This window comes from Homo sapiens, chromosome 19, assembly GCF_000001405.40.
Source record: "Homo sapiens chromosome 19, GRCh38.p14 Primary Assembly".
NCBI classification, from domain to species: domain Eukaryota; kingdom Metazoa; phylum Chordata; class Mammalia; order Primates; family Hominidae; genus Homo; species Homo sapiens.
Window position 1 is genome coordinate 21,137,328 of NC_000019.10, and position 18,499 is coordinate 21,155,826.

Below are 18,499 nucleotides of genomic sequence, written 5' to 3' on the forward strand. Positions count from 1 at the left end.
CTACTAACATCTATCTTCAGTTCCGAGGTTGGAACAGATAGTGGCCATAGAAAGAGCTGAGGCCAGCAGGAATAAAATAACCACAGGTAAACCACTGCTGGCCACCTGTTGCCCACCTTCCTTTTAGAGATCAGGCAGTTAACAAAGGATGATGGGGCCACAGGAGAAAAAAACTCTACGTCTTCAGTTCTGTCCACACTCTTGAACTCCAATGTTTAGATATGGAGAAAATAGATTAAAGGCATTTATTTTGCTATTTGGCCTTGGCCCTAATTGTCTGGCTGTGGTTATCGGTTTTCTTGAGCGGTGACTGCACTCCTGTGCACTCCTGGAGTGACTGCACAGAACTTCAGGCGATCTGCCTGCCTCAGCCTCCTGAAGTGCTGGGATTACAGGTGTGAGCCACCACGCCCAGCCAAAATCTTCTACATATAAGTGTATGCCATGAGTGCACACAAGAGGCCTTTTTTAATTTCTGTCATTTGTAGAGCCATAAGAAAAAAACAGCGAACAAAGAGTGTATGATAGCAAAGATGTCTTGATTTTTGATCTTATAAAAAAAAAAGTCTATCTGGGCCAGGTGCGGTGGCTCATGCTTGTAATCCCAGCACTTTGGGAGGCCGAGGTGGGTGGATCACAAGGTCAGGAGTTCGAGACCAGCCTGGCCAATATGGTGAAACCCCGACTCTACTAAAAATACAAAAACTAGCTGGACATGGTGGCACACACCTGTAGTCCCAGCTACTCGGGAGGCTGAGGCAGAAGAATCGCTTGAACCCGGGAGGTGGAGGTTGCAGTGAGCCACCACCACACCACTGCACTCCAGCCTGGATGAGAGAGCAAGGCTCTGTCTCAAAAAAAAAAAAAAAAAGCTATCTATATCAATGTTGCCATCCACTTTTGAGAAGAAACTTTACTGGTTAGCTTTACCTTAAGATCTCCAATGGATATACAATTGCAAATGTTTGGAGGGGCCCTTCTGAGTCATGAGATTATTAACCCAAGGTTCAAGGTCCTGAAGTCTTGCTGCAGTGTGGATGGCAAGCAGACTCAATCTCTGGGTTATAGATTATAAAGAGTTTTACTGTCCTCAGTCAGTAGACCATTAAAAGCATTCTTTACCTGGTGAAAATATGCTTTGCCATAATGCACTGAAGTTTTGCTGCATTTAATCATATTAGACTTCAGTAGCAGAAGATACATGAGGTTCTATTATCTGGTGCATAAGACATCCAATGACTATTTTATAATAGTCAACACATTTTTTTCACTCTCAGTGAATCTGATTGTCATCAGTCTCAATTACAAAAACAATCCAGTCCATTTAGTTAGCTTTGCTTAACACTATTTTATCAGGGCTGGGTGCAGTGGCTCGCTCCTGTAATCTCAGCACTTTGGGAGGCTGAGGCAAGTGGATAACCTGAGGTCAGGAATTCAAGACCAGCCTGGTAAATATGGTGAAACCTCGTCTCTACTAAAAATACAAAAATTAGCCAGGCATGGTGGCAAGCGCCTGTAATCCCAGCCACTTGGGAGGCTGAGGCAGGATAATGGCTGAATCCGAGAGGCGGAGGTTGCAGTGAGTCGAGATGGCACCATTTGATTTATTTATACATAAATAGACTGTAACTTATTATTGTACCAACCACCGTGTTTTTACCAATAAAATAACATCAAGTGTTCAAGCCATGTTCAAATAAGGCAAATCCCAAGCTGTGGTCAATCTGGCTGTTTCTACACCTCATGTTTATTTTCTGTATGTCCCTTTGCTTTTTCTGCCATAAATCTGTTTTCATCATGTGGCTGTGCTGGAGTCCCTCTGACCCTGTTCTGGATTCACAGGCTGCCCAATTTGCAAATTATTCTATGCTCAAATAAACTCTGTTAAATATAATTTCTCTAAAGTTTTTTTCTTTTAGGCTGGGCACGGTGGCTCACACCTGTAATCCCAGCACTTTGGGAGGCCAAGGCGGGTAGATCACGAGATCAGGAGTTCAAGGCCAGCCTGGCCAACATGGTGAAACTCCATCTCTACGAAAAATACAAAAAAAATTAGCTGGGCATAGTGGCGCGCACCTGTAATCCCAGCTACTCGGGAGCCTGAAGCAGGAGAATTGCTGAACCCAGGAGGCAGAGGCTGCAGTGAGCAGAGATTAGGCCACTGCACTCCAGGATGGGCAAAAGAGCAAGACTTGGTCTCAAAAAAAAAAAAAAAGTTTCTTTCTCTTAAAAGTTTTCAAATTTTTTTATATGATGAAAAATAAATAATGTGTTGTTGGGCCTCGATTTCCTAAACTCATCCCTCAGCTATTTCCTTAAATTATTCTATGTCTTTTCAAAATGCTTCTTCAATTTCTTTTCTTTTTTTGAGACAGGGTCTCACTCTATCAACCAGTCTTGATTGCAGTGGTGTAACCAATCATGGCTCACTTCAGCCTTCACCTTCCAGGCTCAAGCAATCCTCCTGCCTCTGCCATCTAAGTAGCTGGGACTACAGGCATGCACCACCATGGCTGGCTAAATTTTATTTTATTTTATTTTTCATGGAAACAGCATCTTATTATGTTGCCCAGGCTGCACTGGAACTCCTGAGCTCACGTAATTCTCCCATCTCAGGCTACCAAAGTGCTAACAATACAGGTGTGAGCCAGCTAGTGCTTCTGCAATTTCTTGAGATGATTATTCCCAATGATAAACAGTACTGAGCACAAATCTGAAGGAATCTGGTTTCTTCTGTACAAGTGTCACTCTCCAGGATTTCAAGGGTCTAGGGCAGGGCAGCTACTTTGTAGTGTGATCTATGGAGGTACATGGGCTTTGGAGTCAGACAGAGTTAATCCTGAGTCTCAGCCCAGCCACTTAGTATCTGTGGGTCTTTGGACAATTTTCTTGATGTGAAAGAGTTCTATGAACCACATATGGAAAAGAGGTAGATTGGTACTAATTGCAAAATGGTGGCAATTTTTAATCTCTTCTGTATCCATGCCCATTGCCAGGTGCTTTTACAACTGTTTCCATCAAGATCCAGAATCTGTTTTCCAAACCCTAGATCTGGCTGGCCTTATTGGCTCAGAGTGGTAGAAACTTGTGAACATGACAGTGGGCTAGTTTGGGGCCCAGGCTCAAATGGTCTTGAATGCTTCTGTTTTTCTTTCAGAATGCTGCCATCTCCCTGAATAAAGCCATGTTAGCCAGCTGGAAAATAAGATACCATGGGAAGGAGAAGCAAGGTGCCCTGTTGACAGCCCCAGAACTAGAAGCTCACCCCCAGAAGCACAGCTGGCTAGTCAACAAGCAGCTGATGATACGTGTCTCAAAGAGCTCAGCTGAGACTAGAAGAACGGCCCCACTCAGTCTAGCCTAAATGGCTGACCATCTCAATTATGAACTAATAAGTTTTGGACGATTTGTTATGCTACAATAGCTAACTAATACATGCACCCCGTGCAGATAGGACACCAGGATTCTATGACAGGTTGATTACTAGTTACCTTCTAACAGTGGGCACCCTATAGGTACTGATTTTTTCCCCTGATTTAAAGTTGGGTGACTTGTAAGAGAATGTTGAGTAATGCAGAAATACACGTAGACATGTATGCATGTGATTGGTGCTTATACCCACACAGTCCCACACACCACAGGAGAAAACAGATAACTACGGCCTGACCATTAGGGCCAAGGCCAATAGCAAAATAAGTTTTGCCTTTAATCTGTTTTCTCCATATCTAAACATTTGAGGTCAAGAGTGTGGACAGATCTGAAGACACAGAGTTTTATTATCCTGTGGCCCCAACATTCTTTCTTCACTGTCTGATCTCTGGAAGAAAATGGGCAACAGGTGGCTATCAGTGGTCTCCTTGTGGTTATTTTGTTCTTGCTGCCCTCTGCTCTTTCTATGGCCACTATCTGTTCCACCCTCAGAACTGAAGGGAGATGTTGGTAGGGAGAGGCTTTTCCTTCACCTCTGGCAGAAAAGGTTTGCTGGGGCCCTTCACCTCCCGACATCAGAGCTGCACTTCAATGTGGAAGCTTTGGTCATGTGTGGCTCCTGAGTGCCTGGAATGTTCCTGGTCTGAACTGCGATGTGCTAGAAAGGTAAAATACAGAGTTAGTTTCAAAGATTTAGTTTCAAATATTTATATACTTTATTAATAATCACATATTTCTCACACATTAAAATGAAAATTTTTTGATATATTGGGTTAATTAAATTGTTACAATCAATTCAACCTGTTACTTTTTTTTTTTAAGTTTGGTTACTAGAAAATTTAAAATTTACATATGGCTCACATTTTATTTCAGAAAATTACCTCCGTTCTAAAATTTCAGACGGCCTGCTGAAAGACCAGAAGCCGGGAAGGTCATAAAATCCGAAATTTTAAAATAATTGTTATTATATTCTTTTCATTTGTGAATAGGCATACAGTATGTTATTTATAAATGCATGTGACTTTACACACAAGGTTAAATACAAATTCCCTCTGGGGTGGGCCTGGCTAAGCTCTGGGAGGAAGCCCTGCCTGAAAAGACGGCAGCCTAAGCTGTCACTCTTTCTTCACTCAGCCCAGCATCTGTTCGCATCTTCTGTCACTCAGGGCCTGAGAAGGTGGGGTTTTAAACGTTATCCAATCAGCGACGCTAGGCTGGGAACCGTCCAATCAGGCACGCAGCTGGAGCGGACAGGACGGCTTCCGGGATGTGGCGGGGCCTTTGTCTCTCGCCGCAGCCTGAGCTCCAGGTCTCCCCTTCGCTGCTCTGTGTCCTCTGCTCCTAGAGGCCCAACATCTGTGGCCCTGTGACCTGCAGGTATTGGGAGACCCACAGCTAAGACACCGGGACCCCCTGAAAGCCTAGAAATGGTGAGAGTGCCGGGTCGGACATCCCGAGAGAGGGGAAGGGCTGGTTGTAACCGGTGGGAAGTGGCTGTGGCGGGACTCAGGCCTCCCCGCAGTCAGCTCCACAGTCTGCGCCCCGAGTTCTCCTTGCCCAGCTCGGCCTCAGTCCCCTCCAGCCATAAGATGGCGGCTGTGCTGACAGTCGGGACCCCAGGCGTCCTGTCTCTTCACTGCACAGTGACTGTGCCCTGGCCTGGAGCCCTCTCTGGGCAGCTCTGCACCCGCAGCACCGCGTCTTTCCCAGATTGTGCAGGGACCACGGGAGGGTCTTCAGGGGACAGTTCTGACTCGGGGTGCGGGTTCATGAATGGGAAGAGCTTTGTTCCGTGGAGTTCCCAGTTCCTCTTGTCTTCTGTTAAAAATATATGGGAGTCACTATAAAAACATTAAATAATTTAATCAAAGAGTGATTCAAAAATTGTGGAGCACCCAGCTGTGGTTTGTAATTTGTGCTTCATGGGCGGGACTTGAAGAAAAGACTTTTATAAAAAGCATGATGAAGAAAACCAAATTCAGTAATTGGTTAGGTAGAGTTACATAGTTTCTTAATTTGTACAATAAAGGTGAAAATTTCCTGATTATGTAATCAGAGGTTAATTGGCAGTTTATAGTTGGTTAGGGCTGAGTTTTGTTTCTCTCAATGTAGTAATTTACTGAAAAATGTACGTCAGTTAGATTTTTTTAAAGTAGGAACCCAGGGACTAAAGACACCTCCGTCTAATTGCCTGCCTTTTAATTATTTTCACAGTCCATGGGGAGCTGATTTTCCGCTGCATTTTTCACCTGTGTCCCAAGCAGGGTCTTAAGTCTAACCCCCATTCCTCATTTCTCCAGCCTCCCTCTGGCTTGCAGTAAGATACTAAATTTCCAGTTCCTTCTGGTGTTTCCAAATGCCAGCTTTTCCTCCCTAATTCACGTTATCGCCTATTTGTCTTTTAGTGTACTTTTCTATACCGTATTTTAATTATTTTTTGACAAAGCATTAAATGACGCTTTTCAAAAAGTTTTTTAAAAGATTTTTTAAAAAAAATATCTGTAAATATTTCCCATGAGAAGAAAGCAAAGAATAATCCCCTGATACTGTATTGTTAAAACTCTCTGTGCCTTTTCTCCTTGTATCTTCTCTAGGCACAGAGATCTTGTCAGAATGTTTTTCGGTCAAGGTTTTCCTTTGGAAACTTTATGGGGTGATGTGTCCTCAGCCACCTTTTAGTTTTTTTCTGGTCGTGGGTTTCAGTGCTGTCTGGGGATGAACTAAGATATCCACCGTGGTTATGTCAGCTAAAGTGCCTAGTGAATATCAGCTTCTGGTTTATTTTCTTCCATAGGACGACTTGAAATATGGAGTGTATCCTCTCAAGGAAGCAAGTGGATGCCCTGGGGCTGAGAGGAATCTTCTAGTTTACTCTTATTTTGAAAAGGTAACCTCTTGAGACATTAAAATTGTCTACGCCCAACCCAGCTTTCATTTCTTGGGGACACATTGCTGGTCAGCCAGTCCGATGCTGGCACTGATGGGAAAACACAGAAATAATGTATGCCCCCTGGATTGTCTTAGGGGGCAGAAAGATAATGAAATAAATATAGTGGAAGAAAAATAGTGTTAAAAAGTGAAAAATTTGTGACAGATAAAATAGTATCCCAAAAGACCAGAAAAAAACAAAAACAAAAACAAAAAAACCTGACTCTAGTGAGATGGTGTAAGAACTTGCAAAGTAAAATGCACCTGGAGCAGTCACCGAGAAATACTGCAGTGTCTCCTGTATGGGTGGTTCATGAGCACATAAGTGAGCAGGAGTGGGTGGAAGAATCTCCCAAGTGATTGAATGGCCTGACTTGAAACATGAGTCAGACACACATTTGTTTTTTAATCAGCACTGCCACTCCCTGGGTTTGTCACCTTGAAAATATTTGTTTACTTATTTTGACCTCACTTTTTTAGCTGTAAATTGCATTATATTAGTAGGGCTTGAAAGGTAGGAATTTTTTTTTTTTTTTGAAACAAGTTTCACTCTTGCTGCCCAGGCTGCAGAAGGATTGATCTTGGCTCACTACAACCTCTGTCTCCCAGGTTCAAGCAATTCTCCTACCTCAGCCTCCTAAGTAGCTGAGATTACAGGCACACACCACCACACCCAGCTAATTTTTTGTATTTTTTTTTAGTAGAGACAGGGTTTCATCATGTTGGCCAGGCTGGTCTCGAACTCCTGACCTCAGATGATCTGCCTGCCTCAGCCTCCTAAAGTGCTGGGATTGCAGGCATGAGCCACTGTGCCTGGCAGGTAGGAAAATATTTACAAAGGGCATAAAAGAGGTGGGTTTTAGAAAAAAAATTAATATCTAATTATGTATCCCATTTGTTAAAAATTCTCATTTACCTTTTTCTTTCCCAGAGTGAGTTTACAAGTTTCCTCAGGTGTGTTTTTTTTATGGCTGGGTGCATTCAAACAGAATTCCAAGGCTTAGCTTTTAGAATGCTAGCTACCAAGGAAAAGAATAGGGAAAAATCTCTATTCATTCTGGCTGTACAGAATGAATACATTTCCATGAGATAATGTGGTAGATAATTGGTGAGTTACATAGATTCATGAAAACATCAGTTGCTCTTTTTGCAGGGTGAATTTGTGACTAAATATCTCTGTTCAAATCCTGTTATCTTGATTTCTGAGTTTCATGCTACATTTTATGAGATGAAACTTGGTATCACCTAGAAGTATTCCCATATAACTGTTTACTACATGGTTTTTAATGAAAACAATAAAATAATAGATATGTTGTCTGAAAGGAATGGATACTTTTGCTTCTCTTATTTAGGTACAAAATGTAAGTACCTTTGAGTAATTTTGCTGGATTTTTCAAACACATAGTTTCGAAAACCAAGTGAGTAACTCTAACATGGAAATTAAAGCTTGAGCCCAGTGACTAAGAGCTAAGGCTAATATTGAGCCTACAAAAGGAGGTTATGAAAGGCCCACCTATGCGGTGGCTCATGCCTGTAATCCCAGCACTTTGGGAGGCCAAGGTGGGTGGATCACGAGGTCAGGAGATCGAGACCATCCTGGCTAACACGGTGAAAGCCCGTCTCTACTAAAAATACAAAAAAATTAGCCAGGCGTAGTGGTGGGCGCCTGTAGTCCCAGCTTACTCGGGAGGCTGAGGCAGGAGAATGGCATGAACCCGAGAGGCGGAGCTTACAGTGAGCCAAGATCGCGCCACTGCACTCCAGCCTGGGCGACAGAGCGAGACTCCATCTCAAAAAGAAACAAAGAAACAAATAAAAGCCCAGCTAGTTTTTTTCTGGGGATCCTCCCCTGCAGATGTCCCAGTCTGCTCAACCCAGCCATGGAAGAAGCCTTTCTGCTGACACAGCCCTGGAAAGCTGGGGACCCACAGGCAAATGCAGTTAGGATTAAGATGAAAGGGGACTGAGAGGATCTTACTGATGATGTTGTTATTGTTTTGAGGCAGTTTCTAGGCTTTGGAATATCAAAGTTAGATTTATGTAAAAAAAAATTCCGAAAGAGTATTGCAACAGGAAGAAGTACCAATTATAAAAACTGTAAGTATTGGAAAGTTTAGGCTGACAAGGGCTTTCTTTCCTAGGGAGGAGCAAACAGGATTAGAAAGAAGGTGGGAGGGGAATGGCAAATGAACCGTGAAAAATCAGATTTTAGATCAGAGAATGTTTTACCATGAAGTCAGCATGTTCTTAGACGAGACATAAAATAAGGTTGTATGTTGAATCAGACTGAGGATAGTTCAAAGTTCTGGAGCCTGTGAAAAATTTTATTTAGACCACTGAAGACAAATGCAGCTGATTCTTTTAATTGGAAAAATAAGAAAATGTGCAGAGTTCTACCAGAAAGAGGTCCCAATCCAAGCCCCAAAAGAGGGTTCTTGGATTTTGCTCAAGAAAAAATTCAGGGTGAGTCCATACAGTAAAGTAAAAGGAAGTATTAAGAAAATATCACAAGGTCAGGAGTTTGAGACCAGCCTGATCAACATGGTGAAACCCCGTCTCTACTAAAAACATAAAAATTAGCCAGGCTTGGTGGTGCACACCTGTAATCCCAGCTACTCAGGAGACTGAGGCAAAAGAATCACTTGAACCCAGGAGGCAGAGGTTGTAGTGAGCCGAGACCGTGCCACTGCACTCCAGCCTGGGTGACAGAGTGACACTCTGTCTGAAAAAAAAAAAAAAAAAAGAAGAAGAAAGAAAGTAAAGGAATAAAAGAATGGCTTACTCCATAGGCAGAGCAGCCCAAGGGTTGCTGTTTGCACATTTTTATGGTTATTTCTTGATTATATGCTAAACAAGGGATGGATTATTTATGCCTCCCAATTTTAGACAATATAGGATAGCTTCCTAATGTTTCCATATTTGTAAGCTGTCATGACACTTGTGGGAGTGTAGCAGTGAGGGCAATCAGAGGTCACTCTCGTCACATCTTGGTTTTGGTAGGTTTTATTTGACTTCTTTATTGCAACCTGTTTTGTCCACAAGGTCTTTATGACTTGTATCTTGTGCTGACCTTCTTTCCTACCCTGTTACTTAGAATGCCTAACCATCCAGGAATGCAGCCCAGTCAGTCTCAGTCCTATTTTACCCAGCCCCTATTCAAAATAGATGTGCTCTGGTTCCTCTGACATCTCCCCCATCTTTTTCACAAGGGCACACTTAATCCTGAGGGTTGTAGAGGGATGAAGATCCATTTTCTGTAACTACTTCATGCTGAATAGGGGTGATGATATTTTTGCCTAACTATTCAGTTTTCTTGACCCTGAAACAAAGGATCAGTGACATTTTATGTGAAGTCAAAAAGTATTACTTTCATCTTCCATTAGTTCAGTCCCTTCAGTTAATTCCTGTTCTGTTTGATTGTCATGAACATTCCAGTTCTCCATGTATACTGAATGTTTTTTCTCTATTCTAATGTCACAATTTCTAAAGTTATCACAAACTTGCATTTAAGAACATCTGTTGCTGGGCACAGTGGCTCCTGCCTGTAATCTCAGCCCTTTGGGAGGCCAAGGCAGGTGGATTATCTGACGTCAGGAGTTCAAGACCAGCCTGATCAACATGGTGAAACCCTGTCTCTACTAAAAATACAAAAAAAATAGCTGGATGTGCTGGTGGACGCCTGTAATCCCAGCCTAGTTGGGAGGCTGAGGCAAGAGAATTACTCGAACCTGGGAGGCAGAGGTTGCAGTGAGCTGAGATTGCATCATTACACTCCAGCTCCAGCCTGGGCAACAGAGTAAGACTCCATCTCAAAAGAAAAAAAAAATAGAACATCTGTCAAAGTTAACTATAAATCATCTTTTGAAGAGTACCAACACAAGATGATTGTCTGGATGGCAAAGTCTTAGGGCAGTCACAGTGAAAAAAAAAAAAAACCATGATTGACAAGGAAATTTGGTTAGCTCTGTGTCATATAATAATTTTATGTAACGATTGTGATTATTAATGATGTTTTACCATGAAGTCAGCATGTTCTTAGAAGAGACATAAAATAAGGTTGCATGTTGACTCAGACTGAGGATAGTTATATTATCATATTAGTTACATTAGTCATATTAGAATTACAGGAGTTTCCCTTAATTTTGGAACACATACCAATAACATATTTACACAAATATAGTCCAAAAATAGTCAAACATGATTTCACAGTTGACAGCCTTTTCTGTGTGATTTTAATACTAAATGAGCCAAATTTTTACTATTTTATATTTGTGTATGATTTATGTCAAACCCAATTCTTAGTGAATTTTTTTTAATTTTTTTTTTTTTGAGACAGAGTCTCGCCCCGTTGCCTAGGCTGGAGTGCTATGGCAGGATCTCAGCTCACTGGAACCTCTGCCTCCTGGGTTCAAGTGATTCTCCTGCCTCAGCCTCTTGAGTAGCTGGATTACAGGTGCACACCACCATACCTGGCTAATTTTTTTGTATCTTTAGTAGAGACTGGTTTTCATCATGTTGGCCAGGCTGGTCTCGAACTCCTGACCTTGTGATCGGCCCGCCTTGGCCTCCCAAAGTGCTGAGATTACAGACATGAGCCACCATGCCCGGCCTCTTAATGAATCTTTATAGACAAATCTATCCAATTTTAATGTTTGACCATAAGGTAGTATTCTCATAAACCTTTTATAACTCTTCACAAAGTCCTTGTTGTTAGAGTAGATCAGTGCTTTAAGAGAAGTCTGTCATTTTTATCTCAATGTTCAATTTCTAGAAAAAATAATACCTATTTAACTTTAGTCAGTATGTTGACACACAGAATCTCTTTTGCAATTAAATTTTAGCAAATCTTCCACAATTTGTTTAAACCTTCAGTTTTATTCTATCTAATCTAAAACATTCCTTTAACCTTTTAATCTAGGCAAAAAAATCCACATTTCCATGTCTTCTTATATAACCTTTTATCAAAAACATATTTCACTTTCTCTGAATTCCTTGCATGTAAAACTGTTTTTTAGTAGTCAAAATTAGATGTTACAATGTTAACTCTTAGCAACTTTTACTTTTGATGAAAACCTTGGTAAGTAAGGAATTTTAATTACATACTAGGAGTGAAGTCTAGGACACAGACACAAGTGTATATAAGGTCTGACTCCAGTGTATTAATAGTTAGGGGGTGTGGCTAACTTGATGTGTCCCAGGCCTTACTTAGCTGTAAAACAGGCAAGTTGTACAGTGAACAGTCATAGTGGCATTTTGAGAAGTCTTAATTTAAGAGGCCTAATGACCTTTAAATTGTACAACATTTCTTGCATAAATTTCCTTCAGTGAATTATTTCATGACTTATACAGACCATCTACAATATGTTTGGGCTTTCTGATTTGTCCTAAACATCCCTCTTTTTAAATAACCAGTCATTTTACTTTAGGATAAGAATTTACTATACAACATCTTTTCTTATATAAAGTCTCTTTTCTTTATAACCTTTGTATATGTAGGGGACATGGCTAATTCCATATGTCTCAAGGCCTTATTTAGAATCTACTGGCTTCAAGATAGGTAAATTGAACAATTTTTAAAAGTCAAAGAGCCAATTTATGACCTTGAAATATTTGGTAAATCTAATATGTGACCTATATAACTTAGATCAAATGTTTATATTTTGAAGACTTTTTATTTTCCCAATGATCTTTAAAACTGTTTTTATTTCCAAAAGATTACTTGTCACATGAACTAAAAGGTGTTACACTTTTAACTTTTCTGACAAAATATTTGATTTACGCTCTTACTATTTTTAAACCAATTAATCAGAGTTCTTTCATATCACACACACAACACATGTAAATACAAAGACAGAAGATTCAGTAGTTGTAAGGTTTTTCTTTGTCAATTTCTTTCTTTTTTTTGAAGGAAAGTTTGTATTATTTTAATTATTTTTATGTATAGAAAACTCAACAGTGTACATTTAACCCAGTTTAGTGGCAAGTTCTTTAGTCTTTGCCTTTTTGAGCTTGGCGATCTGAGCCACAGACTTGAGACCCAGGGCCTTCCCTCCCCAGTGATGGCGGATCTCATCCTGTCATTGTAGTTGGTCCTGATAGCTTCCCCCAGCTTAGCCAAAGCACCTTTGTCTTCTGAGTTAACCTGTGTGAAGACGACAGTGGTGCAGGTCTTCCTGTGGACTAGACGTCCTAGTCTTACCTTCCCCTTGATAATGCAGTAAGGGACTCCCCTTTTATGACACAGGGCAGGCAAGAAGACAACCAGCTTGATGGGATCCACATCATGCGCAATCACCACCAGCTGAACTTTCTTTTTCTCCACCAAGGTGGTGACAGTGTTAATTCCTGCTCGAAGGACACGTGGTCTCTTAATAAGGATGTCCCCTTTGTCAGCAGCTTTCTTCTCGGCCCGGGCCAACAGCCTCTGCTTCTCCTCTTGCTTTGTCTCTGGTCTGTACTTGTAGGCTAGCTTAAGCAGCTGAGTAGCTGTTTGGTGGTCCAGGCCCTGGGTGAACTGGTTAATCACAGAAAAACACTTTCAGCCGCCTATAGAGGATGGCTCTTTGCTGCTGCAACCTGATATAGTGGGGCCATTTCGGGTGAGGTCCCTTTTGGGCTGGATGTCCTGCCCAGTGCCACAATTCTTAGGCCTTTTCTCAAACAGGAAATTCACCACTTTCTTGGCCTCCTGCTTCTTCACAACAGCAGGGGTTGGAGCCACCTTCTTCCCCTAGGCCTTCTTTCCTTTTGGCATCTTGGGTCGGGGGAGGAGAGCTTCTTTGTCAGTTTCTTAACTGGATTACTAGTTTCAGCGTGGAGCCCAGGGCCAGGAAAGCATGTCGTTTTTATGGCCTAAAAAGTAAACAGAGCTGGAAAACAAAACAGATCCTCCTAAATTAAGGGTACCATTTTTAAATCAGATCTTGGATCTAAAAAGGAGAGAATTAGTTAATCCCAAGGGAAGTCTTATTTCTCAGTAGGGGTTGGGGATACCTCCATATTTCCTAGGTGGTCAAGATTATGTTTCTCTGATCCAAATATGAAGAACTGAGTATTTCCCCATAATTGCCATTAGCCATTCCAAAAGTATAGTTCTCACCTAGTTATTACATGCCAAGTTTCTTTTATAATGTGAAGTAATTTCTGATACCCCCCAAAGTCAAAAACATCAGATAACGCATTGCAAAACGAACAGAACCTTAGATTTTGAGAAGGCTCTATCCACCTTCAATTTTTGGAGTTTCATGAGGAAAAAGTGTTTCTCAAAAGAGGGCCTGCGGCACCTCTTCTGTTTTTCCCAAGGTGTCCCAGGCTGTTAGAGCTTGAATATCTGCTGTACTTAAGCTGACTTTTAACCACAGTGCTTTTTTTTTCTTTTTTTTTTTGGAATGGAGTCTCGCTCTGTCGCCCAGGCTGGAATGCAGTGGCGCTCGCTATCTTGGCTCACTGTAATATCTGCCTCCCAGGTTCAAGTGATTCTCGTGCCTCAGCCTCCTGAGTTGCTGGGACTACAGGCGAGTACCACCACACCAGGCTAATTTTTTGTATTTTTAGTACAGATGGGGTTTCACCATGTTAACCAGAATGGTTCTATCTCCTGACCTTGTGATCAGCCCACCTTGGACTCCTAAAGTGCTGGGATTACAGGTGTGAGCCAATGACCACAGTGATCAGTGCTCTTTTAAAAAGTCCTTTTAAATTTCTTATTACCAGACTTTATTCAGGTCAAACAGCCAATATCTCTGGCTTTTGAATTTTACCAAAAGTAACTTCACAGGTGTTCTGAAAAGAAAATTCAAGGTGGTTCCTGGAGGGGAAGAGAATCAACAAATGGTAAAGCTCACCCAAATATCAAATAAGAAAGTACTCATTCCCTAAGCCGGGAATTGAATCCTGAACCTGGGCCACCATTATGATGGTGGAGACCAAGAGAAAATACTGTCATGTGGTCACAAGGTGGAGCTTCCAAGGCCATGACTGAGCACTTTTCTGAGCCATCTTGAACAGCAGCCTTAAGGGGTCCTAGGCCTGCATTCTATCCTAAGGTACCCCTCTTAATGACAGAAGAATACAGAAAGACAAATTTATTAGCTCAAAGTACAACAGATTTGTTACAGCTTAAGACTAACCTCACAAATGCATTCCCATATTAATTAGAACTTTACATAGAAGATAAACAGTATTTTTTTTCACCATTCATTCAATCAGTTTGCATAGAGAGGCTAGAAGTCTCGTCAGAAATTTGTACACTTTTGCCAGCATGCCAGGCTTCTGGGTTCCATTTCCCCGAGTGGCCCTAGTGATGTGGCTGGCTGCACCACAGCCCCGTGGGCCAAGCCACAACAAAAAGAAAAATTATCTTTTTCTGGCCAGATCAAAATATATGTGACAACATAGACCTTAGCCACTCTTCTTAACAACCAATATGAAACTGGCAAGACTTAAACTTGGCCCCAGTTGGGCCCTGTCATTGTTAATTCAACTTAATAATCAGGAGTTTTATCTTTTGGTCTCTAGGCAAGATGGTTACTCTGAGTAATATAAAATAAGAAAGAGAAAAGAGAGAAAAAGCATTGTCTGTGGCAGGGTAGGAAGGCAAAGAGCTGAGGGGTCCAGAGAAAGACCTACTCATTGCAGCGATAATAAAAAGTTCAGGTGGCCGCTTCTTGGTAGGAAAGAGATTTTTTTCCCAACAGTCCCATTAACACTTAAGTTTTCCCTTTTGGACAAGAAAAAGATCCCCATGTCCCATGGTCCTGTAGATGCCTAATTCTGTCACCCATAGCCATCAGCAAAGAGTGCAAGACAGATTAATCCAAAAAGAATAGCAATGAATGTCCCATAGTGTCAAACCAGTTCTTAGCTGAGACGGATTTTACTGAGAGGGGTCTGTAACTTTCTGAATCTTAGGAAGGAATATAACCTTTCTAAGCTCGGCCTCAAATCCAAGTTCAGTCAAGCATCCTTGTCTTTTATTAAGAGGAGCCTTTAACCCACTGTGTCTTAGGAGAGACTCTAATTCTCCTAAGTTGTGCCTCTAACCCAATCCCATCCTTTACTCAGGCATATGCACACCACTCACCCAAAGTCAGCCGATTGGTGCACACAGATGATTTTCCTTTGGGTCAGAGGTCTCTTAAGTATAGTCCCTTTGTGGTTACCAGAAAGATGTTACCGGAAAGAAGTTCTGATCCAGACCCCAAGAGAGGGTTCTTAGATCTCGCTCAAGAAAGAATTGAGGGCGAGTCCGTAAAGTGATAGCAAGTTAATGAAGAAAGTAAGTAAATAGAAGAATGGCTTTCTCTATAGGCAGAGCAGTGGCTGCTAGTTGCACATTTTTATGGTTATTTCTTGATTATATGCTAAACAAGGGGTGGAATATTTATGCCTCTCCTTTTTCAACTATTTTAAGATAACTTCCAGACATTGCCATGGCATTTATAAACTATCATAGCACTGGTGGGAGTGTAGCAGAGAGGACAACCACATGTCACTCTCATCGCCATGTTAATTTTGGTGGGTTTTATCCAGCTTCTATACTGCAAACTGTGTTATCAGCCAGGTCTTTATGACCTGTATCTTATGCTGACCTCCTATCTCATCTTGTGAGTTAGAATGTCTAACCATCTGGGAATTCAGCCCAGTGGGTCTCAGCGTTATTTTTACTCAGCCTCTATTCAAAATAGAGGCTGCTCTGGTTCAGTACACCTCTGACAGAGTCTGTGTCTGGCTATGTGATAAATAAGAAAAGAGAGCACCATCTAAGTCATAATGGGAAGGGTGTTTCTTTCCATAAACTATTTCTAGAGAACACAAAGGATGAAGAATTTTATTAATCACAGCTATTTACCCAGATTATGTATGTGCTTCATTGTTCCCCACCTCTTTTCTTTGTCATATACATTTCTTCCATTTGACTTTTCCTGGGTTGTACTTTTTATAATAAACTAGTAAACATAACTACAGTGTTTTGCTGAGTTCTGTGAGTAGCTTGATCTAATTATTGAACTTGAGGAAGGCTGTGGGAGTCCCCATTTTTTTTCTTTTTTGAGACAAAGTTTCGCTCTTGTTGTCCAGTTTGGAGTGCAGTGCCGTGATCTTGGCTCACCGCAACCTCTGCCTTCCGAGTTCAAGCGATTCTCCTGCCTCAGCCTCCCTAGTAGCTGGGATTACAGGCGCCCACCACCATGCCCGTCTAATTTTGTATTTTTAGTAGAGACGGGGTTTCTTCATGTTGGTCAGGCTGGTCTCAAACGCCCGACCTCAGTTGAGCCACCTGCCTTGGCCTCCCAAAGTACTGGGATTACAGGCATGAGCCGCCGCACCCATTGGGAGTCCCCAATTTTTTTTTTATTATACTTTAAGTTTTATGGTACATGTGCACAACGTGCAGGTTAGTTATATAGTATACATGTGCCATGTTGGTGTGCTGCACCCATTAACTCGTCATTTAACATTAGGTATATCTCCTAATGCTATCCCTCCCCCCTCCACCCCACAACAGGCCCCAGTGTGTGATGTTCCCCTTCCTGTGTCCATGTGTTCTCATTGTTCAATTCCCACCTGTGAGTGAGAACATGCGGTGTTTGGTTTTTTGTCCTTGCGATAGTTTGCTGAGAATGATGGTTTCCAACTTCATCCATGTCCCTACAAAGGACATGGACTCATCATTTTTTATGGCTGCATAGTATTCCATGGTGTATATGTGCCACATTTTCTTAATCCAGTCTATCATTGTTGGACATTTGGCTTGGTTCCAAGTCTTTGCTATTGTGAATAGTGCTGCAATAAACATATGTGTGCATGTGTCTTTATAGCAGCATGATTTATAAACTTTTGGGTATATACCCAGTAATGGGATTGCTGGGTCAAATGGTATTTCTAGTTCTAGATCCCTGAGGAATCGCCACACTGACTTCCACAATGGTTGAACTAGTTTACAGTCCCACCAACAGTGTAAAAGTGTTCCTATTTCTCCACATCCTCTCCAGCACCTGTTGTTTCCTGACTTTTTAATGATCGCCATTCTAACTGGTGTGAGATGGTATCTCATTGTGGTTTTGATTTGCATTTCTCTGATGGCCAGTGATGATGAGCATTTTTTCATGTATCTGTTGGCTGCATAAATGCCTTCTTTTGAGAAGTGTCTGTTCATATCCTTTGCCCACTTGTTGATGGGGTTGTTTGTTTTTTTCTTATAAATTTGTCTGAGTTCATTGCTGATTCTGGATATTAGCCCTTTGTCAGATGAGTAGATTGCAAAAATTTTCTCCCATTCTGTAAGTTGCCTGTTCACTCTGATGGTGGTTTCTTTTGCTGTGCAGAAGCTCTTGAGTTTAATTAGATCCCATTTGTCAATTTTGGCTTTTGTTGCCGTTGCTTTTGGTGTTTTAGACATGAAGTCCTTGCCCATGCCTATGTCCTGAATGATATTGCCTAGATTTTCTTCTAGGGTTTTTATGGTTTTAGGTCTAACATTTAAGTCTTTAATCCATCTTGAATTAATTTTTGTATAAGGTGTAAGGAAAGGATCCAGTTTCAGCTTTCTACATATGGTTAGCCAGTTTTCCCAGCACCATTTATTAAATAGGGAATCGTTTCCCCATTTCTTGTTTTTGTCAGGTTTGTCAAAGATCAGATGGTTGTAGATATGCAGCATTATTTCTGAGGGCTCTGTTCTGTTCCATTGGTCTAGGTCTCTGTTTTGGTACCAGTACCATGCTGTTTTGGTTACTGTAGCCTTGTTGTATAGTTTGAAGTCAGGTAGCATGATGCCTCCAGCTTTGTTCTTTTGGCTTAGGATTGACTTGGCAATGTGGGCTCCTTTTTGGTTCCATATGAACTTTAAAGTAGTTTTTTCCAATTCTGTGAAGAAAGTCATTGGTAGCTTGATGGGGATGGCATTGAATCTATAAATTACCTTGCGGAGTCCCCAATTTTTAAACAGTAGCTCAGAAGCATAGATGAGCCTATGGGGTTTGTCACTGGCATCTGGAATGAGGACAATGTTGTGGGACTGAGATCTGAATCAGGGTCTATGCTGACTCTGGGTGGTGTCAGAATTGAAATGTTAGACACTGAGTTGCTGTTTGAGAATTGCTTGGTGTTCAGCAAACTCTACAGATTTGGTGGCAGAAGGAAG

At 41.5% G+C, this 18,499-nt stretch overlaps 1 protein-coding gene and 1 pseudogene across 14 annotated transcripts in view, besides 2 other annotated features; one reads left to right on the forward strand and one right to left on the reverse strand.

Annotated features, from left to right (window-relative positions):
- ZNF431 (zinc finger protein 431) overlaps window positions 4,713-18,499 on the forward strand; it is a 54,014-nt gene continuing 40,227 nt past the window's right edge. For 9 of the 14 annotated variants that reach the window (NR_138053.2, XR_007066668.1, XR_007066670.1 and 6 more), the window contains exons 1-2: window positions 4,713-4,859; window positions 6,224-6,316. Coding sequence is in view for 2 of the 14 variants with exons in the window: in NM_001319124.2 (NP_001306053.1) it covers window positions 4,857-4,859; window positions 6,224-6,316 (96 nt within the window). In the remaining 12 variants the exon portion in view is untranslated. Of the gene's footprint in view, window positions 4,860-6,223; window positions 6,317-13,751; window positions 13,872-18,499 lie in introns of all 14 variants that reach the window. The other 5 variants (XR_007066665.1, XR_007066664.1, XR_001753620.2 and 2 more) reach the window with 3 other exon arrangements.
- Window positions 4,739-5,218: an enhancer, noted in NCBI's record as "active region_14382". NCBI's record gives its function as "activates an Ori minimal core promoter by ATAC-STARR-seq in GM12878 lymphoblastoid cells {active_cell/tissue: GM12878}" and the evidence as "EXISTENCE:reporter gene assay evidence [ECO:0000049][PMID:35858748]".
- Window positions 6,000-7,199: an enhancer, noted in NCBI's record as "P300/CBP strongly-dependent group 1 enhancer chr19:21326130-21327329 (GRCh37/hg19 assembly coordinates)". NCBI's record gives its function as "activates an origin of replication core promoter dependent on BRD2, BRD4, P300/CBP, MED14 and CDK7 cofactors, with strong dependence on P300/CBP, by STARR-seq in HCT116 cells {active_cell/tissue: HCT116}" and the evidence as "EXISTENCE:reporter gene assay evidence [ECO:0000049][PMID:35650434]".
- Window positions 12,261-13,131, reverse strand: RPL7AP10 (ribosomal protein L7a pseudogene 10; annotated as a pseudogene).